Here is a 16,788-nt window from a genome sequence, read left to right on the forward strand (position 1 = left end):
AGGGACAGGGACAGGACGTGGGGCTGTATCTGACAGGAACCTGAGGGGCTGGCCTGGGAGGGGATTGGGGCCCAGCTTCCTGAAGGGAGGATGGGCTAAGGCAGGCACACAGTGGCGGAGAAGATGCCCTCCTGGGCCCTCTTCATGGTCACCTCCTGCCTCCTCCTGGCCCCTCAAAACCTGGCCCAAGTCAGCAGCCAAGGTGAGGTGCACAGAGGGTGGAGATCACCTATGCCCAGGAAGAGGGAGCCCTGGGAGGTGATGCAGGGCCCCGGGAGGGGAGGTAGAGTAAGAGGCTCTCCTGCTGGTCCCCTCCCCTTCCACATAAACATGCCTGGGAGGACCCAGGGCCAACTCACCAGCTGTTCCTTAGATGTCTCCTTGCTGGCATCAGACTCAGAGCCCCTGAAGTGTTTCTCCCGAACATTTGAGGACCTCACTTGCTTCTGGGATGAGGAAGAGGCAGCGCCCAGTGGGACATACCAGCTGCTGTATGCCTACCCGCGGTAGGTGCTGGACTGTGCCCCACTCCCCATGTATCTGTCCCTGCACTTAGCTGAGTCCCACTCCAGCAGCTTTCCTGCCTGTCCGAGGACCACTCTGAATACAAGCCCTAAGTACCTACTTTTTGAACAGATGTGCTTTGGATGTATGTGGGCCCCAGCTCCAGCCCTACATAACCCCTAATCCCACCTATCCCAGGCAGTGAGAAGAAAAATGGCAGTACTAGAGACAGAAGTTGGGCATGGGCCCAGGTCTGGGTCCTCAGGGCTCCGCATGGTGGCTGTGTAGGAGGGACCTCTTCTATGCCAACAGGGAGAAGCCCCGTGCTTGCCCCCTGAGTTCCCAGAGCATGCCCCACTTTGGAACCCGATACGTGTGCCAGTTTCCAGACCAGGAGGAAGTGCGTCTCTTCTTTCCGCTGCACCTCTGGGTGAAGAATGTGTTCCTAAACCAGACTCGGACTCAGCGAGTCCTCTTTGTGGACAGTGTAGGTAAGAGCCATCCTCCTGTCACCCTGCCCCCTCCACTTGCTGCCCCCAGTCCAGCTCCCGGAATCAGACTTGCCTGTGCCCTTCCAGCTCAGCACGGATACCCCTATTACCAGACCCCCTGAGGCACCCCAAGACTCCCTTGTCATTCCTCCCAGCCTTGGCATCTAGAGCTAGAAATGCCCAACAGATCATTCACACCCTGTTCCTCCCATCGTCAACAAATCATTTATTCATCCATTCAAGAGTTACAGAATACCTACTGTGTGCCAGACACTGGGCTAGGTGATGGGGATATGGAGAGAAAAAGGGATCCCTGCTTACAAGAAGCACTGAGTCTAGCAAGCCATCATACTGCAAAGAAGTCACTGTTCTCATGAGAGAAGAACAGAATCAGGAGCCTCCCTAGCCTGCCCTCCAGGAGAATGACAGCCTACAATTTTTGAATCCAGAAGCTGCCCCAATTCAGCCCCCAGCACCCCTCTCTGCAGTCCAGAGGCTGAGCCATAGACTGTGGTACTCAGAGTTCTGATGTGCCCTGTCTTGCCCTCAGGCCTGCCGGCTCCCCCCAGTATCATCAAGGCCATGGGTGGGAGCCAGCCAGGGGAACTTCAGATCAGCTGGGAGGAGCCAGCTCCAGAAATCAGTGATTTCCTGAGGTACGAACTCCGCTATGGCCCCAGAGATCCCAAGAACTCCACTGGTCCCACGGTCATACAGCTGATTGCCACAGAAACCTGCTGCCCTGCTCTGCAGAGGCCTCACTCAGCCTCTGCTCTGGACCAGTCTCCATGTGCTCAGCCCACAATGCCCTGGCAAGATGGACCAAAGCAGACCTCCCCAAGTAGAGAAGTATGCTGACCTTCTTCTGCCCCACCTCTTATCTCCTACCTTCAATCTTGCCCCAGGAAAGGACAGACCATACTTTGGGGATTCCAGACCTAGGTTCGTCCTTGGAGAGTTAGTATAGGCTCAGATATGAGCCACGCCTACTTAGGGGCTTCCTACTTTGGGTCATTCCCACTGACAAAAGCAAAGGCTTTCAGGCCTCCAAATTAATGGAGATTTCGCAACAAAACCCTGAACACCACCTGAAACCCACCAACTTAGCCCCTGGTCTGTGTGCATATCTATCCAGCAAGGAGCTGAGCTCCTCTCCACAGAGATGCTGTGCAAATATAAGGGTTGGAGGCTCTCTCAGCTGACAGGCAGACCTAGATTGTGAAGCTGGGATTTTCCTCCCAAGGCTTCAGCTCTGACAGCAGAGGGTGGAAGCTGCCTCATCTCAGGACTCCAGCCTGGCAACTCCTACTGGCTGCAGCTGCGCAGCGAACCTGATGGGATCTCCCTCGGTGGCTCCTGGGGATCCTGGTCCCTCCCTGTGACTGTGGACCTGCCTGGAGATGCAGGTGAGTCAACAAAGGAATAGGGAGATGGGGAGGAGATAAAAGAATATCTCTAGGGAAGCCTGGGCTAGATCTGAAGCTCTGGGAACCATGGTCCTTCCTGATGATCTCGAACTTGCCACTGGACAGGAACTATGTTCAGGGAAAGAAGAGAGAATAGGAGTCAATGTTCTAAGTTATATGTGTAGAAATTATCTGAAATCTGAACACCCTATACAGTAGGGGCACACGGGCCCTGATGGGACTTACTTCTTTGACTTTAGTGGCACTTGGACTGCAATGCTTTACCTTGGACCTGAAGAATGTTACCTGTCAATGGCAGCAACAGGACCATGCTAGCTCCCAAGGCTTCTTCTACCACAGCAGGGCACGGTGCTGCCCCAGAGACAGGTGAGAGCTGAACTGCTGATTGAGGTTGGTGTCATGGGAGTGAGCCACAATCTTGCAGAAAAAAAGAAGAGAGTGTTCTTGGTCCTCTTCACTCTCCTTCCTTTGTCTCCAAACCATACAGCTTTCAATGCTCTCTTATCTATTCTGTCATCCTCCAATCGATATTTTATCTTCTCAACCCCTCTCTGTTCCCATTGGGAATGCTTTGGTTTAGTTTAGCCTTAATCATGTCACTGGGACCATTGCAACATCCTACAGTCTAATTCACCTCCAATGTATTCCCCATGCTGCTAACAGAGTGATCTTTGTTAAGCTCAAACTGTGCATGACCTTTGTAAAGCTCTAACTTTGCATAGTCTCCCCTTACTCAAACATGTACTGCAATTTCTCATTATCAAAGCCATAAAAAATTTAGCCTGGCCTTCAAAGACTTCCACCAAGCACCTCATTGATTCTTCATCCTCTCCATATCTAAATCTATAACCAAGTTGTATTGATTTTACCTATTAACTATCTCTAGAATCTGCCCACTTGTCTATCACTGCCATTATCCTACTACAACCCATCATTAATTCTCTCTTGGGCTACTGAAAAGACATAGTAACTGATCACCCTGAGTCTTCCAAGTAATTCTTCACATAGGTGCTGAAGGGATCTTTTCATTTTGTTTTGTTTTGAGACAGTCTGGCTCTGTTGCCCAGGCTGGAATGCAATAGTGCAATCTTGGCTCACTGCAACCTCCACCTCCCGGGATCAAGGGATTCTCCTGCCTCAGCCTCCCAAGGAGCTGGGATTACAGGCATGTGCCACCATACCCCATTAATTATTTTTGTATTTAGTAGAGAGGGGGCTTCACCATGTTGGTCAGGCTGGTCTCGAACTCCTGACCTCAGGTGATCCACCTGCCTTGGCCTCCCAAAGTGCTGGGATTACAGGTGTGAGCCACCGCACCTAGCCTGAAGGGACCTTTTAAAAGTGCAAAAATGAATGTAACACTCCCTGCTTAAAAATCTTCAATAGCTTCCCACTAGTCTTAGGATAAAGAAAAAAACCTCTACCATGGACTTGAAAAGTTCTGAGACTCAGCCCCTACGTACTTCTTCAGCTTCATCTTGTGCTATGCTGCCCTTTGATCCCCATGCTCCAGCACAGGGCTTCTGTGGTCCCCTCATATCTGGCATATTCCCTTCTGCTTCTAGGTCTTTACACTGCTGTTTACCCAGCCCTACTGCCTTTACTTAACTTCTACTTATCCTCCAAATCTCAACTCAAGCGTCACTTTCTTAGGGACCCTCCCCTGGCCTTCTTTATTAAGTCCAATAGCACTAATATACATTCTTGTTGTACCATGTACCGCTTCTTCTTCTTCTTTTTTTTTTTCTTTTTTTTTTCTTTTTGAGACAGAGTCTCACTCTGTCGCCCAGGCTGGAGGGCAGTGGTGCCATCTCGGCTCACCGCAAGCCCCGCCTCCCGGGTTCATGCCATTCTCCTGCCTCAGCCTCCCAAGTAGCTGGGACTACAGGTGCCCGCCACCACGCCTGGCTAATTTTTTGTATTTTTAGTAGAGATGGGGTTTCACTGTAAGTGTTAGCCAGGATAGTCTCGATCTGACCTCGTGATCCACCCACCTCGGCCTCCCAAAGTGCCGGGATTACAGGCGTGAGCCACCATGCCTGGCCGTACCTCTCCTTCTTAAGTACTTATCATAGTCATACTTTCATATTTATAGTTTATATGATTATTTGGTTGATAATAAAAATCTGGCCAGGCCCAGTGGCTCACACCTGTAATCCCAGCACTTTGGGAGACTAAGGTGAGAAGATCACTTGAGGCCAGGAGTTTGAGACCAGCCTAGACAACATAGTGAGACTTCGTCTCTACAAAATTTCTTTAATTAGCCAGGCATGGTGGCACCTGTATTCCTAGCTACTTGGGAGGCTAAGGTGGGAGGATGGCATGAGCCTAGGAGTTTGAGGTTACAGTGAGCTATGATTGCACCACTGCACTCCAGCCTGGGCAACAGATCAAGACTTTGTCTCAAAAAAAACAAATCTCTCAGAACTCCAGTTGAGAAAGGCTGATCTTGACCACATATGATCCATGAGGGCAAGATCAATGGGTTTTTATTCACCAATATATTCTCACCTACCAATAGTAGGTGCCTGGTAAAAAATTGTTGAACACTATTAACTATTTAAATGTATTCTTCCAGTTTTTTTCTATGTATTTACATACATCTCTATACAACATTTAAATTTTATTATTTTTGAGATAGGGTCTTGCTCTGTTGTCCAGGCTGGAGTGCAGTGGCATGATTATGGCTCACTGCAGCCTCGACCTCCCAGACTCAAACGATCCTCCCACCTGAGCCTCCTGATTAGCTAGGACTACAGGCATTTTCTTTCTTTCTTTCTTTCTTTCTTTTTTTTTTTTTTTAAGTAGAGACAAGGTCTCCCTATGTTGCCCAGACTGGTCTCAAACTCCTGAGCTCAAGCAATCCTCCCATCTCAGCCCCTCTACCACGCCCAGCCTAACATGTAATATTTTTTTTTTTTTTGAGATGGAGTCTTGCTCTGTTGCCCAGGCTGGAGTGCAGTGGTGTGATCTCAGCTCACTGCAACCTCCGCCTCCAGGGTTCAATCGATTCTCCTGCCTCAGCCCCCCGAGTAGCTGGGATTATAGATGTGCGACACCATGCCCAGCTAATTTTTTGTATTTTTAGTAGAGACGAGGTTTCATCATGTTAGCCAGGCTGGTCTCGAACTCTTGACCTCAAGTGATCCACCCACCTCAGCCTCCCAAAGTGCTGGGATTACAGGTATGAGCCACCACACCCAGCCTAATATTTAATTTTTAAATATAAATTGGATTACATTACATATATGGTTTGTTGACTCACCTTTTTGCTTAAAAACATGTCTCAGAGATCATTACAAAAAGATGTAACTCATTCTTTTTAATAACTGCATACATATCCATAGGATTGAGATGCCTGAGTGGACTAAAGGGTAGCAAAACTGAAGTCATCATTTCCTCTATCAAAACTTGCTTTTCCTGCTGGGCACAGTGGCTCACACCTGTAATCCCAGCACTTTGGGAGGCCGAGGTGGGTGGATCACCTGAGGTCAGCAGTTGGAAACCAGCCTGGCCAACATGGTGAAACCTCATCATTACTAAAAATACAAAAATTAGTCGGGTGTGGTGGCACGCGCCTGTAGTCCCAGCTTCTTGGGAGGCTGAGGCAGGAGAAATGCTTGAACCCGGGAAGCGGAGGTTGCAGTGAGCTGAAATCGTGCCCCTGCACTCCAGCCTGGGCAACAGAGAGAAGACTCTGTCTCAAAAAAAAAGAAAAAAAAAACTTGCTTTTTCTTTATTGTCTCCGATCCTACCATGAATTCAGTTTTCCTGGACTGAAAAATAGAAATCATCCTGGACTTCTCCCATTCCAATACCCTCCAGGCCTAACCAGAAATAGTCTTGTCATTTTTACCTTTTCAATATCTCTTCAATCATCTCTTTCCCTGTCTCTCACTGCTGCTACCCTATTTTCACATCCTCATCACTTTGCACATGAAAAACTACAAGAATGTCATAATGGATTTCTCTGCTTCTAGTCGGCCCTCACAAATCCTTTCTACAGACTGTAGTTAGAATGATCTTCCTAAAGTACAAAGGTAGCTATGGCACTTCCCTGCTTAAAATCCTTAAATGTCTACATAACTACCACAAGGTTAGTAGTAATTCAAGTTCAAGCTCCCCAGAAAGGCCATAAGGCCATCCATGACATGGTCTGCAGTCTCACATTTACCACCTACCACCAGGCCCTTTATGCGAAAACCATCTGCACCACTTAGAATTTCCCCCAAAGCACCACACTCTCTTATCTATGCACAACCATGTGCCTGGGATGCCTGTTTGTCCCTTTTGCCTATCCTATTTTTAGTTCAAAACTCAGTCTAAACATCGCCGTATCCAGGAAGCATTCCCTGACCCTCCCAGTCTGGGTTGGATGCTCCCCTTTGATGCTCCCAAGCCAGTCTATGCACATCACAGAAAAATATCATGTTTGTTTTTCTGTCTTTCCCACTGAAATTAGAGCTCTTTGAACCTTATTCCTCTATGCACTCATAGGGCCTGGCACAGTACCAATTGGCACATAGTATCAATTATTTGTTGATTAAATGGGTAAACATACCCATTTTAGTGACGGTGAGCCACTTAGGGGTTATAATCAAGAGGGAGACATGATTCAATTGTTCAATAAAGAATTATTGAGAGTGACTTTTTGCAAGGTACTGGGGATAAATAGTGCAACAAATAAAATGGAAAAGGGGCCAGGCTCGGTGGCTCACACCTGTAATCCCAGCACTTTGGGAGGCCAAGGTGGGCAGATCACTTGAGGTCAGGAGTTCGAGACCAGCCTGGCCAACATGGCGAAACGCCATCTCTACTAAAAATACAGAAATTAGTCAGGTGTGGTGGTGGGTGCCTGTAATCCCAGCTACTCAGGAGGCTGAGGCAGGAGAATCGCTTGGACCCAAGAGGCAGAGGCTGCAGTGAGCTGAGATCGTACCATTGCACTCCAGCCTGGGCAACAAAGCAAGACTGTCTCAAAACATTTTTAAAAATAAATAAAGTGGAAAGGGTTCCAGCATTGTTGGGGCTTACATTAGTAGAGGGGAGGGGAAAAGGAGGGGGAGAAAAGTAAGTAAAGAAATAAAGGAACAAAGTTATAATAGAGACTAAAGGGGGGCGTGTGGTGGGTGGGGGGTGGGTGTTGCTAATTTAGACTGAGTGGCCAGGAAAAGCCTCACCAGGGAGGTGACAGATAAGCCGAGATCTAAATGGCAAGAAGGAATGAGTCACATGAAGACCTACAGTCAGAGCAATCCAGGGCAAAGGCAAAGTGCAAAGATAGCACATTTGGCATATCTATGGCACAGAAAGAAGGCCTGTGCGGATGAAGGGTGATAAACTGGCATGAGAATCATAAGAGATGAGAATGGCAAGGCAAGGAGAAACCAAATCACAGAGTCCTGTAGGCCTGGTAAGGGGTTTGGGTTTTATTCCAAGTGGGATGAAGAGCCACTGAAGGATTTTAAGCAGTAAACAATGACAATTTGACTTACATTTTTAAAAGATATGTTTCTCTGTGAATAAATAAATAAGAGTAGAAGCAGAATCACCAGTCAGAAATTTGCCTTAATCCAAGCAAGGAATGATAGTGGCTTCATCTAACATAGCAGTGGTAAAGATCAAAATCAATAGTTTGTGACATTATATTCTGGACATTATCACATCAACATTTTTGGAAACAAATTCTGGTAGCTGTGTGGAGAACAACTTGAAGGTAGTGGCAAAAACAGAAGCAGAAAAGCCAGTTAGGAGACTATTGTCATAATCTAATAGCAAAATAACACATAGGGGAGAGTAGGAGGAATGACGTATGAGAACACGTTAAAAATAGAGGATATTTTTCTCCAGAAAGATGAGGGTTCTTTAATCTTTGAAACAATCCTGTGAGGTTGGTATCATTAACCCATTTTACAAATAGAAGGAAACTGGAGCAGAGATAAACCAAGTAATTTGCCCAAAGTTACACAAAGGTAAGCCAAGACCTCAACTCTTGGTGAAAACCCATGCTGTTTTCACATATCATGCCAGGTCTTTCCTCAAAGGGAAGAGGCCAGACAACAAAGCTGACTTCAGAAAACATCATGGCAAAATAGCAAAAACAAACGAACAAATGAACAAAGGAAAAAACAAAAAGAAAACATCATGGCATAAAGACAGAGGGAAAGCTCTGGAGGCCCCTGGAAGGAAGGAGTTAAATGATAATCCCTGCAGGCCATCGTTCTTGTAGGATGGGAAGCCTTGGGATTAGTCTCTGGGGCAGGCCTGATTCAATGACTCTGTGGGGCTGGGTCTTAGGTACCCCATCTGGGAGAACTGCGAAGAGGAAGAGAAAACAAATCCAGGACTACAGACCCCACAGTTCTCTCGCTGCCACTTCAAGTCACGAAATGACAGCATTATTCACATCCTTGTGGAGGTGACCACAGCCCCGGGTACTGTTCACAGCTACCTGGGCTCCCCTTTCTGGATCCACCAGGCTGGTAAGAACTTTCTTCCTCATTCTTCCCACATAGTTCCCACCCCCACTGAATCTGACCCTGTGCCCAGGATCCCCAACTCTGACCCTTCTGACCGATGGCTCTGGTGGCACAATGCCTTGTGCACAGAAGGACTTAAGCTGCTCCCTGCTGACATCCCTGTAGTGCGCCTCCCCACCCCAAACTTGCACTGGAGGGAGATCTCCAGTGGGCATCTGGAATTGGAGTGGCAGCACCCATCGTCCTGGGCAGCCCAAGAGACCTGTTATCAACTCCGATACACAGGAGAAGGCCATCAGGACTGGAAGGTATGGTCAAGCAACAAATGCCCACAGACCTCACTACGCAGGGGATCCCTGGGGTTGGCCATGCCTGTTAGCAGGAGTGAAAGTGTCTATGTATCCAGTCTCTGCTAGTATATCTATGTTTATCAGATTCAACTGGTATCTTAGTCTCTCTTGGGCATCTGATATTTCTGGCTACTCCTACTTAACATTTCTCTTCCCTTTGTCTTTGGGATATCAGTCTTCCCCGATTTTCCTCCTACCTCTCTGACTGAACTTTCTCACTCTCCTCTCCTGGCTCCTCCTTTCCAGCCTTCCACAAAATGCTGTGCTTCCTAGAGTCTCATCCTAGGCTCTTTTCTCCTCTGATAAAATAAATATGTTCTCCCCAGGTGAGTGCTTTAACTCCATGGTTTCAATGTCCATACATTAACAATCGCAATTTTACCATTCTAACTCCCATATGGAAAGGAATTTACAAACCACAGGCAAATTACCAAAATGTTTGAAGTCTGTTTCCTCATTGGTGAAATGAGGATGAAGCTATCTACCTTATGGAGTTATAGTAAAGATTAAATACTATATCTAAATACCTAGCATACTGCCTGGCATAAGGAAGGTGCTCAATATACATTACTTAAATATTAGTTTGTCTACTTTTATTCTCATTTGCCACACATATATACAACTATGTACAACATCTTATGGTTCTACCAAAACTTCCTCCCCCTGGACATTTCAGACTCAGTCTATCCAGAATGGAACTCCTCTTCCTCCTGAAGCTTTACTTTTTTATTGTGATAAAACTTACATACAACAAAGTGTACAAATTTTACATATATAGTCTGTACTTGTGTATACATCCACATAACCATAACCAGGATCAAGATATAAATTATTTCCAGCACCTCAGAAGCTCCCAATGCTCCGACACATCCCCCGCCACCAAAGGTAATCACCATCCTGACATTACCATTGATTCATTTGGACTGTTGTTGAACTCTATAAAATGGAACCCTAAAGTATATCTTCCTCAAACTTACTTCTCTTCTGTGTCCTGTCTCTGACAATGGCACCGCTACTTACCCAGTACCCAAGCCTAGAAGCACCCTTGACTCTTCTTGCTCTTCCCTTATCCCTTCCCCTTACTCATCAACTAAGTTGATGGCAATAACGTACTAATAGTCCTCAAATTCCTACCAGGATTGCCTTAGACTCATCTGTGACCATCCAGCCGTGTCATCCATGCTTTTAGCACACTAAACTACTCTGTGGCACAAAACCAAGCATTAAATGCTTCTCTGGACTTCCGTGGTGCCTTGCACTAATTAATTGTTGTGATTATTTACCTGTTTGGATGTCTTTCTCATTAGATATGTAAGAGACGGTGTTTTATTGCTTTCTCCCCAGTGCCTAACCCAATGTTTGGAGTATCACACAGTTCATAAATGTTTGCTGCCTTCCTGCTTGTACACATGATGCTTGTACCCCAGCGCCTAACGCAAATCTGGCATCCTCTGCAGCATGAGTATTATTTGTGGCATGGTCTGTGTGGCTCTGAATATATCTGTTTCTGGGGGTGTCCATCGCCCGACCTGGAGTTGTGAGAACACCCGGTAGGGTGTGCGTGTACCGGGATCCCTGCCGAGGGTGTACCTGGGTGTTGGTGTTAGGATACGTAGCTCTCTGAGGTGAGGTCTGTGTCTCAGGAGGTGGGCCTGGCACGTTTCTCTCGGGCAGAGCGTGATCCCGTTAGGGAGAGGCTCTCGGTTAGGGCGCTCTATCCTGTTGCTGGGAAGCGTGTTTTCTGCCGGTGGGGCTCTTTGTGGGAATCTCCGACCGCCTGGGGATTCGGAGCTGCAGGATTTGGGTCAAACAGACGCTGGGCTATCGAAGCCCCGACGCCGGGCCACCGCACGCTTCTTTGCTCAGGTGCTGGAGCCGCCTCTCGGGGCCCGAGGAGGGACCCTGGAGCTGCGCCCGCGATCTCGCTACCGTTTACAGCTGCGCGCCAGGCTCAACGGCCCCACCTACCAAGGTCCCTGGAGCTCGTGGTCGGACCCAACTAGGGTGGAGACCGCCACCGAGACCGGTGAGGCAAGCCCCGGCCGCACCAAAGCCGCACAGCGCCTGCGCCAGGGACTGGGCGCCGGGTGCGAGTGGGGCGGGGCTCGGAGAGGGGCGAGGCGCGGGGCGCGGAGAGGGGCGGGGCCCTGACCTTGCGGGCCGACGGCTGCGCAGGTGCCCGCAGTGCCCAGGGGCGGCGAGGGGCGGGGCCAGAGTAGGGGCTGGCTGGATGAGGGCGGGGCTCCGGCCCGGGTGGGCCGAAGTCTGACCCTTTTTGTCTCCTAGCCTGGATCTCCTTGGTGACCGCTCTGCATCTAGTGCTGGGCCTCAGCGCCGTCCTGGGCCTGCTGCTGCTGAGGTGGCAGTTTCCTGCACACTACAGGTACCGCCCCCGCCAGGCAGGAGACTGGCGGTGGACCAGGTGGAGCCGAAGGCCTGTAAACAGGCATTCTTGGTTCGCTCTGTGACCCCAGATCTCCGTCCACCGCCCGTGCGCACCTACGGCTTCGCCACTTCCTGCACGTCACCTCTGGGACTCGCCGCGGCTCCTTACACTCTAACACGCCCACTATACCGCCCACCTCGAACAGCCCCGCCTCCTGCTGCTCACCTCGGCGACTAGGCCACCGTCCACCCTTCAGCCAAACTGCCCACTCCACCCCCATCCAATCTGCCGTCAGGTCCCACCTCCTAAACCTAGTCCAAACAATGGCCCCCTTTCTCTAGCCCTACAGACACGACCTGACTCACTGAAACAGAACCTCTTGCCCCTCCGATCTAGCCTCACACAGCCACCAGAATAATCTTTCTAAAATGCGCACATGAACCTATCAATTCCCTCCTTAAATCCTTTCAATAGCTCCCAGGATATAGTCCAGGCTCCCTATGATGACAAGCGAGGCTCTGCAAAATCGGCCCCTGCCAGCAAGCACTTCAGCCTGTTCTACCCTGTGCATCAGCCTTTCCAAACTGGTTTTCTCCACAAGTCAGGTTTTACTTCTCAGTGCCTTTGCACATAACGTCCGCTCTGCCTGAAATAGCCTCCCTGTCTCACTAAACCCATTCATCTGTAAATAACTTTCTTCACCAACTCTTAAGAAACCTTTCCTGACCCTCCCCCTTTTGGCCGCTGCTCTGTGCTCCAATACAGTACCAGTAGTGTTTTACTGTGTTTATTTCTTTATATATCTTCCCTATTATACCTTACTTGGTCATCTTTAAATCCTTAGCACAGTGCCTGCCAAAAAGCAGGCCCTTAAATAAATGTTATTAATGAGTGACTCATTTATGTGGGAAGACGAAGGCTGAGGAGAAATGCCATTGGAGGCTATAAACATGAAGGGTAGAATGCATCCCACCTCCATCCTTCATCTGCTGCTTCTTTAAGACTTAGCTCAGAAGTCATCTCCTCCAGATGGTGTCTTCTGATGGTCCTGGGCTGGTTCAGGTGCCACTCTCATGGGCTACCATCTCCCTCTGAACATACCTCTCTTTGAACTTTTAATCTGCCCATACGTATGAGCAGACTGAAAGGTAGCCTCCATGCAGGTAGCCAGATCCAACAAAAAAGTTGGAGAAGTAGGAGGAGGTGGTCTGCTGAGCCAGGCATACTCAGTTTCTTTTCCCCAATTTACCAGGTAAGTCACACCTTCTCCCCTGGAGAGATATGAGTGAGGTCACTGAAGCGGCCTGAAATGTTCTACTGACGTCCCTCCACATGGAAATATGAAGCTAAAGAATCCAGGTTCTGGCCGGGTGCGGTGGCTCACGCCTGTAATCCCAGCACTTTGGGAGGCCGAGGTGGGCAGATCACAAGGTCAGGAGATCAAGACCATCCTGGCTAACACAGTGAAACCCCATCTCTACTAAAAATACAAAAAAAATTAGCCAGGCATGGTGGTGGGCGCCTGTAGTCCCAGCTACTCAGGAGGCTGAGGCAGGAGAATGGTGTGAACCTGAGAGGCGGAGCTTGCAGTGAGCCAAGACCGCGCCACTGCACTCCAGCCTGGGCCACAGAGGGAGACTCCATCTCAAAAACAAAACAAAACAAAACAAAACAAAACAAAACAAAACAACAAAAAAATGGAGGCCCCTCCAATACATCTTAATCCATATTCTTCCCAGATAGACTACCCTCTCCAGTAACTTACTAATAAGCTCCACTGATTTTCTTCATTCATTCATTCAGCTAATTTACTGAGCACCTACTATGGGTCAGACACTATTCTACACCCTAGAAATACAGGAGTGAATAAATAGACAAACTCTCTTTTCTCGGGGACCATATGTTCTAGTGGGGTGAGACAGACAAAAAGAAATATACATAACAATGTAATAAATGTACAACAAGTCAAATACTATAAGGAAAAATGAAGTACAGCAGGAGATAGCCTGTCATGGGGAAAGGAAGCAGCACTACAGTGGTCCCCTCTTATCCACAGTTTCACTTTTTGTGGTTTCAGTTACACGCAGTCAATTAAGGTCTGAAAAAAATTACATGGAAAATTCCAGAAATAAACAATTCATGTATTTTAAATTGTAAGTAGCACGATGAAATCACTTGCCATGCCGCTCTGTCCCACCCGGGATGTAAATCATCCCTTTGTCCAGCATCTCCACGCTGTATATGCTCCCTGCCCCATAGTCACTTAGCAGCCATCTTGCTTATCAGATTGACTCGTTGAGGTATTGCAGAGCTGTGTTCAAGTAACCCTCATTTTAGTTAATAATGGCCCCAAAGTACAAGAGTAGTGATGTTGGCATATTGTTCTAATTGTTCTATTTTATTAGTAGTCATTATTAATCTCTTACTGTGCCTAATTTATAAACTTTATTGTAGGTATGTACGTATAGAAAAAACATCTGCTGGGAGTCTTGAAACATATCCCCTGCAGATAAAGAGGGACTACTGTGTTTCAGGCAAGGTAGTCAGGGATGACATTTGAACAGAGGCCTACAATGAGGTGAGGGAATGAATCCAGTGTTCCAGACAGAACAAACATTGGAGTGTTTGAGGAAACTGCAGCACCCTTTGTTGAACCTGCCCACCACTGACTTCCCTCCCCTACCTGAGGTTTTCTTCTTACTCTACTCCCCTGCCCAACTTTATTGCCTTGACCATGCTCTTATATCTCCAAGCCTTACTCCCCGGCCTCACTGCTCCCCCACCCCAACTGCTGTCCTCCTCCCTGCCAATCCACTGCCATGGCTCAGTCTGCTTCTCTTCCTTCTCCCCCAGGAGACTGAGGCATGCCCTGTGGCCCTCACTTCCAGACCTGCACCGGGTCCTAGGCCAGTACCTTAGGGACACTGCAGCCCTGAGCCCGGTGAGTGTGCTTCCCTCCCCTGTGCCCACCACCAACCCTGCCTGGTACTGGATCCTTGCCCCAACAATACAACTTGTTCAAGGTCCTTGCCCTACCAGTGTGCCATCCCCAGGCACTACCCCAGCACTACCCCAGCCCTTCTCCTTCCTGTACAGTCCAGCCCCTCCTCCCACAGGATCTGCTTTAATCCAGCGCCTCTCCTCATCTCTCCCAGCCCAAGGCCACAGTCTCAGATACCTGTGAAGAAGTGGAACCCAGCCTCCTTGAAATCCTCCCCAAGTCCTCAGAGAGGACTCCTTTGCCCCTGTGTTCCTCCCAGGCCCAGATGGACTACCGAAGATTGCAGCCTTCTTGCCTGGGGACCATGCCCCTGTCTGTGTGCCCACCCATGGCTGAGTCAGGGTCCTGCTGTACCACCCACATTGCCAACCATTCCTACCTACCACTAAGCTATTGGCAGCAGCCTTGAGGACAGGCTCCTCACTCCCAGTTCCCTGGACAGAGCTAAACTCTCGAGACTTCTCTGTGAACTTCCCTACCCTACCCCCACAACACAAGCACCCCAGACCTCACCTCCATCCCCCTCTGTCTGCCCTCACAATTAGGCTTCATTGCACTGATCTTACTCTACTGCTGCTGACATAAAACCAGGACCCTTTCTCCACAGGCAGGCTCATTTCACTAAGCTCCTCCTTTACTTTCTCTCTCCTCTTTGATGTCAAACGCCTTGAAAACAAGCCTCCACTTCCCCACACTTCCCATTTACTCTTGAGACTACTTCAATTAGTTCCCCTACTACACTTTGCTAGTGAAACTGCCCAGGCAAAGTGCACCTCAAATCTTCTAATTCCAAGATCCAATAGGATCTCGTTAATCATCAGTTCCTTTGATCTCGCTGTAAGATTTGTCAAGGCTGACTACTCACTTCTCCTTTAAATTCTTTCCTACCTTGGTCCTGCCTCTTTGAGTATATTAGTAGGTTTTTTTTATTTGTTTGAGACAGGGTCTCACTCTGTCACCCAGGCTGCAGTGCAATGGCGCGATCTCAGCTCACTGCAACCTCCACCTCCGGGTTCAAGCGATTCTTGTGCCTCGGCCTCCCTAGTAGCTGGGATTACAGGCGCACACCACCACACACAGCTAATTTTTTTTTTTTTTTTTTTTTTTTTTTTTTAGACGGAGCCTTGCTCTGTTGCCAGACTGGAGTGCAGTGGCACGATCTCGGCTCACTGCAACCTCTGCCTCCCGGGTTCAAGCCATTCTGCCTCAGCCTCCCAAGTAGCTGGGAGTACAGGCGTCTGCCACCATGCCTAATTTTTTTCTATTTTTAGGAGAGACCGGTTTTCACCACGTTGGCCAGGATGGTCTCGATATCCTGATCTCGTGATCCGCCTGCCTCTGCCTCCCAAAGTGCTGGGATTACAGGTGTGACCCACTGCGCACAGCCCCAGCTAATTTTCATATTTTTAGTAGAGACAGGGTTTTGCCATGTTGCCCAGGCTGGTCTTGAACTCCTAACCTCGGGTGATCCACCCACCTTGGCCTCCCAAAGTGTTAGGATTACAGGCATGAGCCACTGCGCCCGGCTGAGTGTACTAGTAGTTAAGAGAATAAACTAGATCTAGAATCAGAGCTGGATTCAATTCCTGTCCTTCACATTTACTAGCTGTGCAACCTTGGGCACATAACTTAATGTCTTTGAGCCTTAGTTTTTTCATCTGTAAAACAGGGATAATAACAGCACCCCATAGAGTTGTGACGAGGATTGAGATAATCTAAGTAAAGCACAGTCCCTAGGACATAGTAAATGATTCATATATCCGAACTACTGTTATAATTATTCCTTCTTACTCTCCTCTTCTAGCATTTCTTCCAATTATTACAGTCCTTCAAGATTCCATTTCTTAACAGTCTCCAATCCCATCTATTCTCTGCCTTTACTATATGTTGACCATTCCAAAGTTCTTATCTCTAGCTCAGACATCTACTACAGCACTGTGATGCTTTATGCAACTAACTGTTTACATATCTGTCCCCTGCTACTAGATTGTGAGCTCCTTGAGGGAAAGGAACATGATTTATTTGTCCTTTTCCCCCAGCACCTAGAGTAGTGCTTGGTGCATGATAGTAGGCCTTCAATAAATTTTTTCTAAATGAATGAAATCTTTCTGGACAAGGTTACCTTAATCCCATGCCAGCTGTCCTCATCC

At 48.2% G+C, this 16,788-nt stretch overlaps 1 protein-coding gene across 1 annotated transcript, besides 4 other annotated features; it reads left to right on the plus strand.

Annotated features, from left to right (window-relative positions):
* On the plus strand, window positions 93-16,741 carry MPL (MPL proto-oncogene, thrombopoietin receptor). Its single transcript, NM_005373.3, has 12 exons — window positions 93-202; window positions 374-506; window positions 817-995; window positions 1,546-1,844; window positions 2,239-2,401; window positions 2,662-2,788; window positions 8,720-8,904; window positions 9,067-9,209; window positions 11,118-11,277; window positions 11,538-11,634; window positions 14,491-14,578; window positions 14,793-16,741. The coding sequence occupies exons 1-12, from the start codon at window positions 124-126 to the stop codon at window positions 15,045-15,047; spliced, it is 1,908 nt and encodes a 635-aa protein (NP_005364.1). The 5' UTR covers window positions 93-123; the 3' UTR covers window positions 15,048-16,741.
* Window positions 10,475-11,446: an enhancer, noted in NCBI's record as "H3K27ac hESC enhancer chr1:43813871-43814842 (GRCh37/hg19 assembly coordinates)". NCBI's record gives its function as "activates a minimal SCP1, AML or CMV promoter by ChIP-STARR-seq in naive H9 embryonic stem cells {active_cell/tissue: H9 hESC(naive)}" and the evidence as "EXISTENCE:reporter gene assay evidence [ECO:0000049][PMID:30033119]".
* Window positions 10,475-11,521: a biological region, named in NCBI's record as "H3K27ac hESC enhancer GRCh37_chr1:43813871-43814842".
* Window positions 11,312-11,521: a silencer, noted in NCBI's record as "silent region_778". NCBI's record gives its function as "represses an Ori minimal core promoter by ATAC-STARR-seq in GM12878 lymphoblastoid cells {active_cell/tissue: GM12878}" and the evidence as "EXISTENCE:reporter gene assay evidence [ECO:0000049][PMID:35858748]".
* Window positions 11,447-12,417: an enhancer, noted in NCBI's record as "H3K27ac hESC enhancer chr1:43814843-43815813 (GRCh37/hg19 assembly coordinates)". NCBI's record gives its function as "activates a minimal SCP1, AML or CMV promoter by ChIP-STARR-seq in primed H9 embryonic stem cells {active_cell/tissue: H9 hESC(primed)}" and the evidence as "EXISTENCE:reporter gene assay evidence [ECO:0000049][PMID:30033119]".

This window comes from Homo sapiens, chromosome 1 (genome assembly GCF_000001405.40).
Source record: "Homo sapiens chromosome 1, GRCh38.p14 Primary Assembly".
Taxonomy (NCBI): domain Eukaryota; kingdom Metazoa; phylum Chordata; class Mammalia; order Primates; family Hominidae; genus Homo; species Homo sapiens.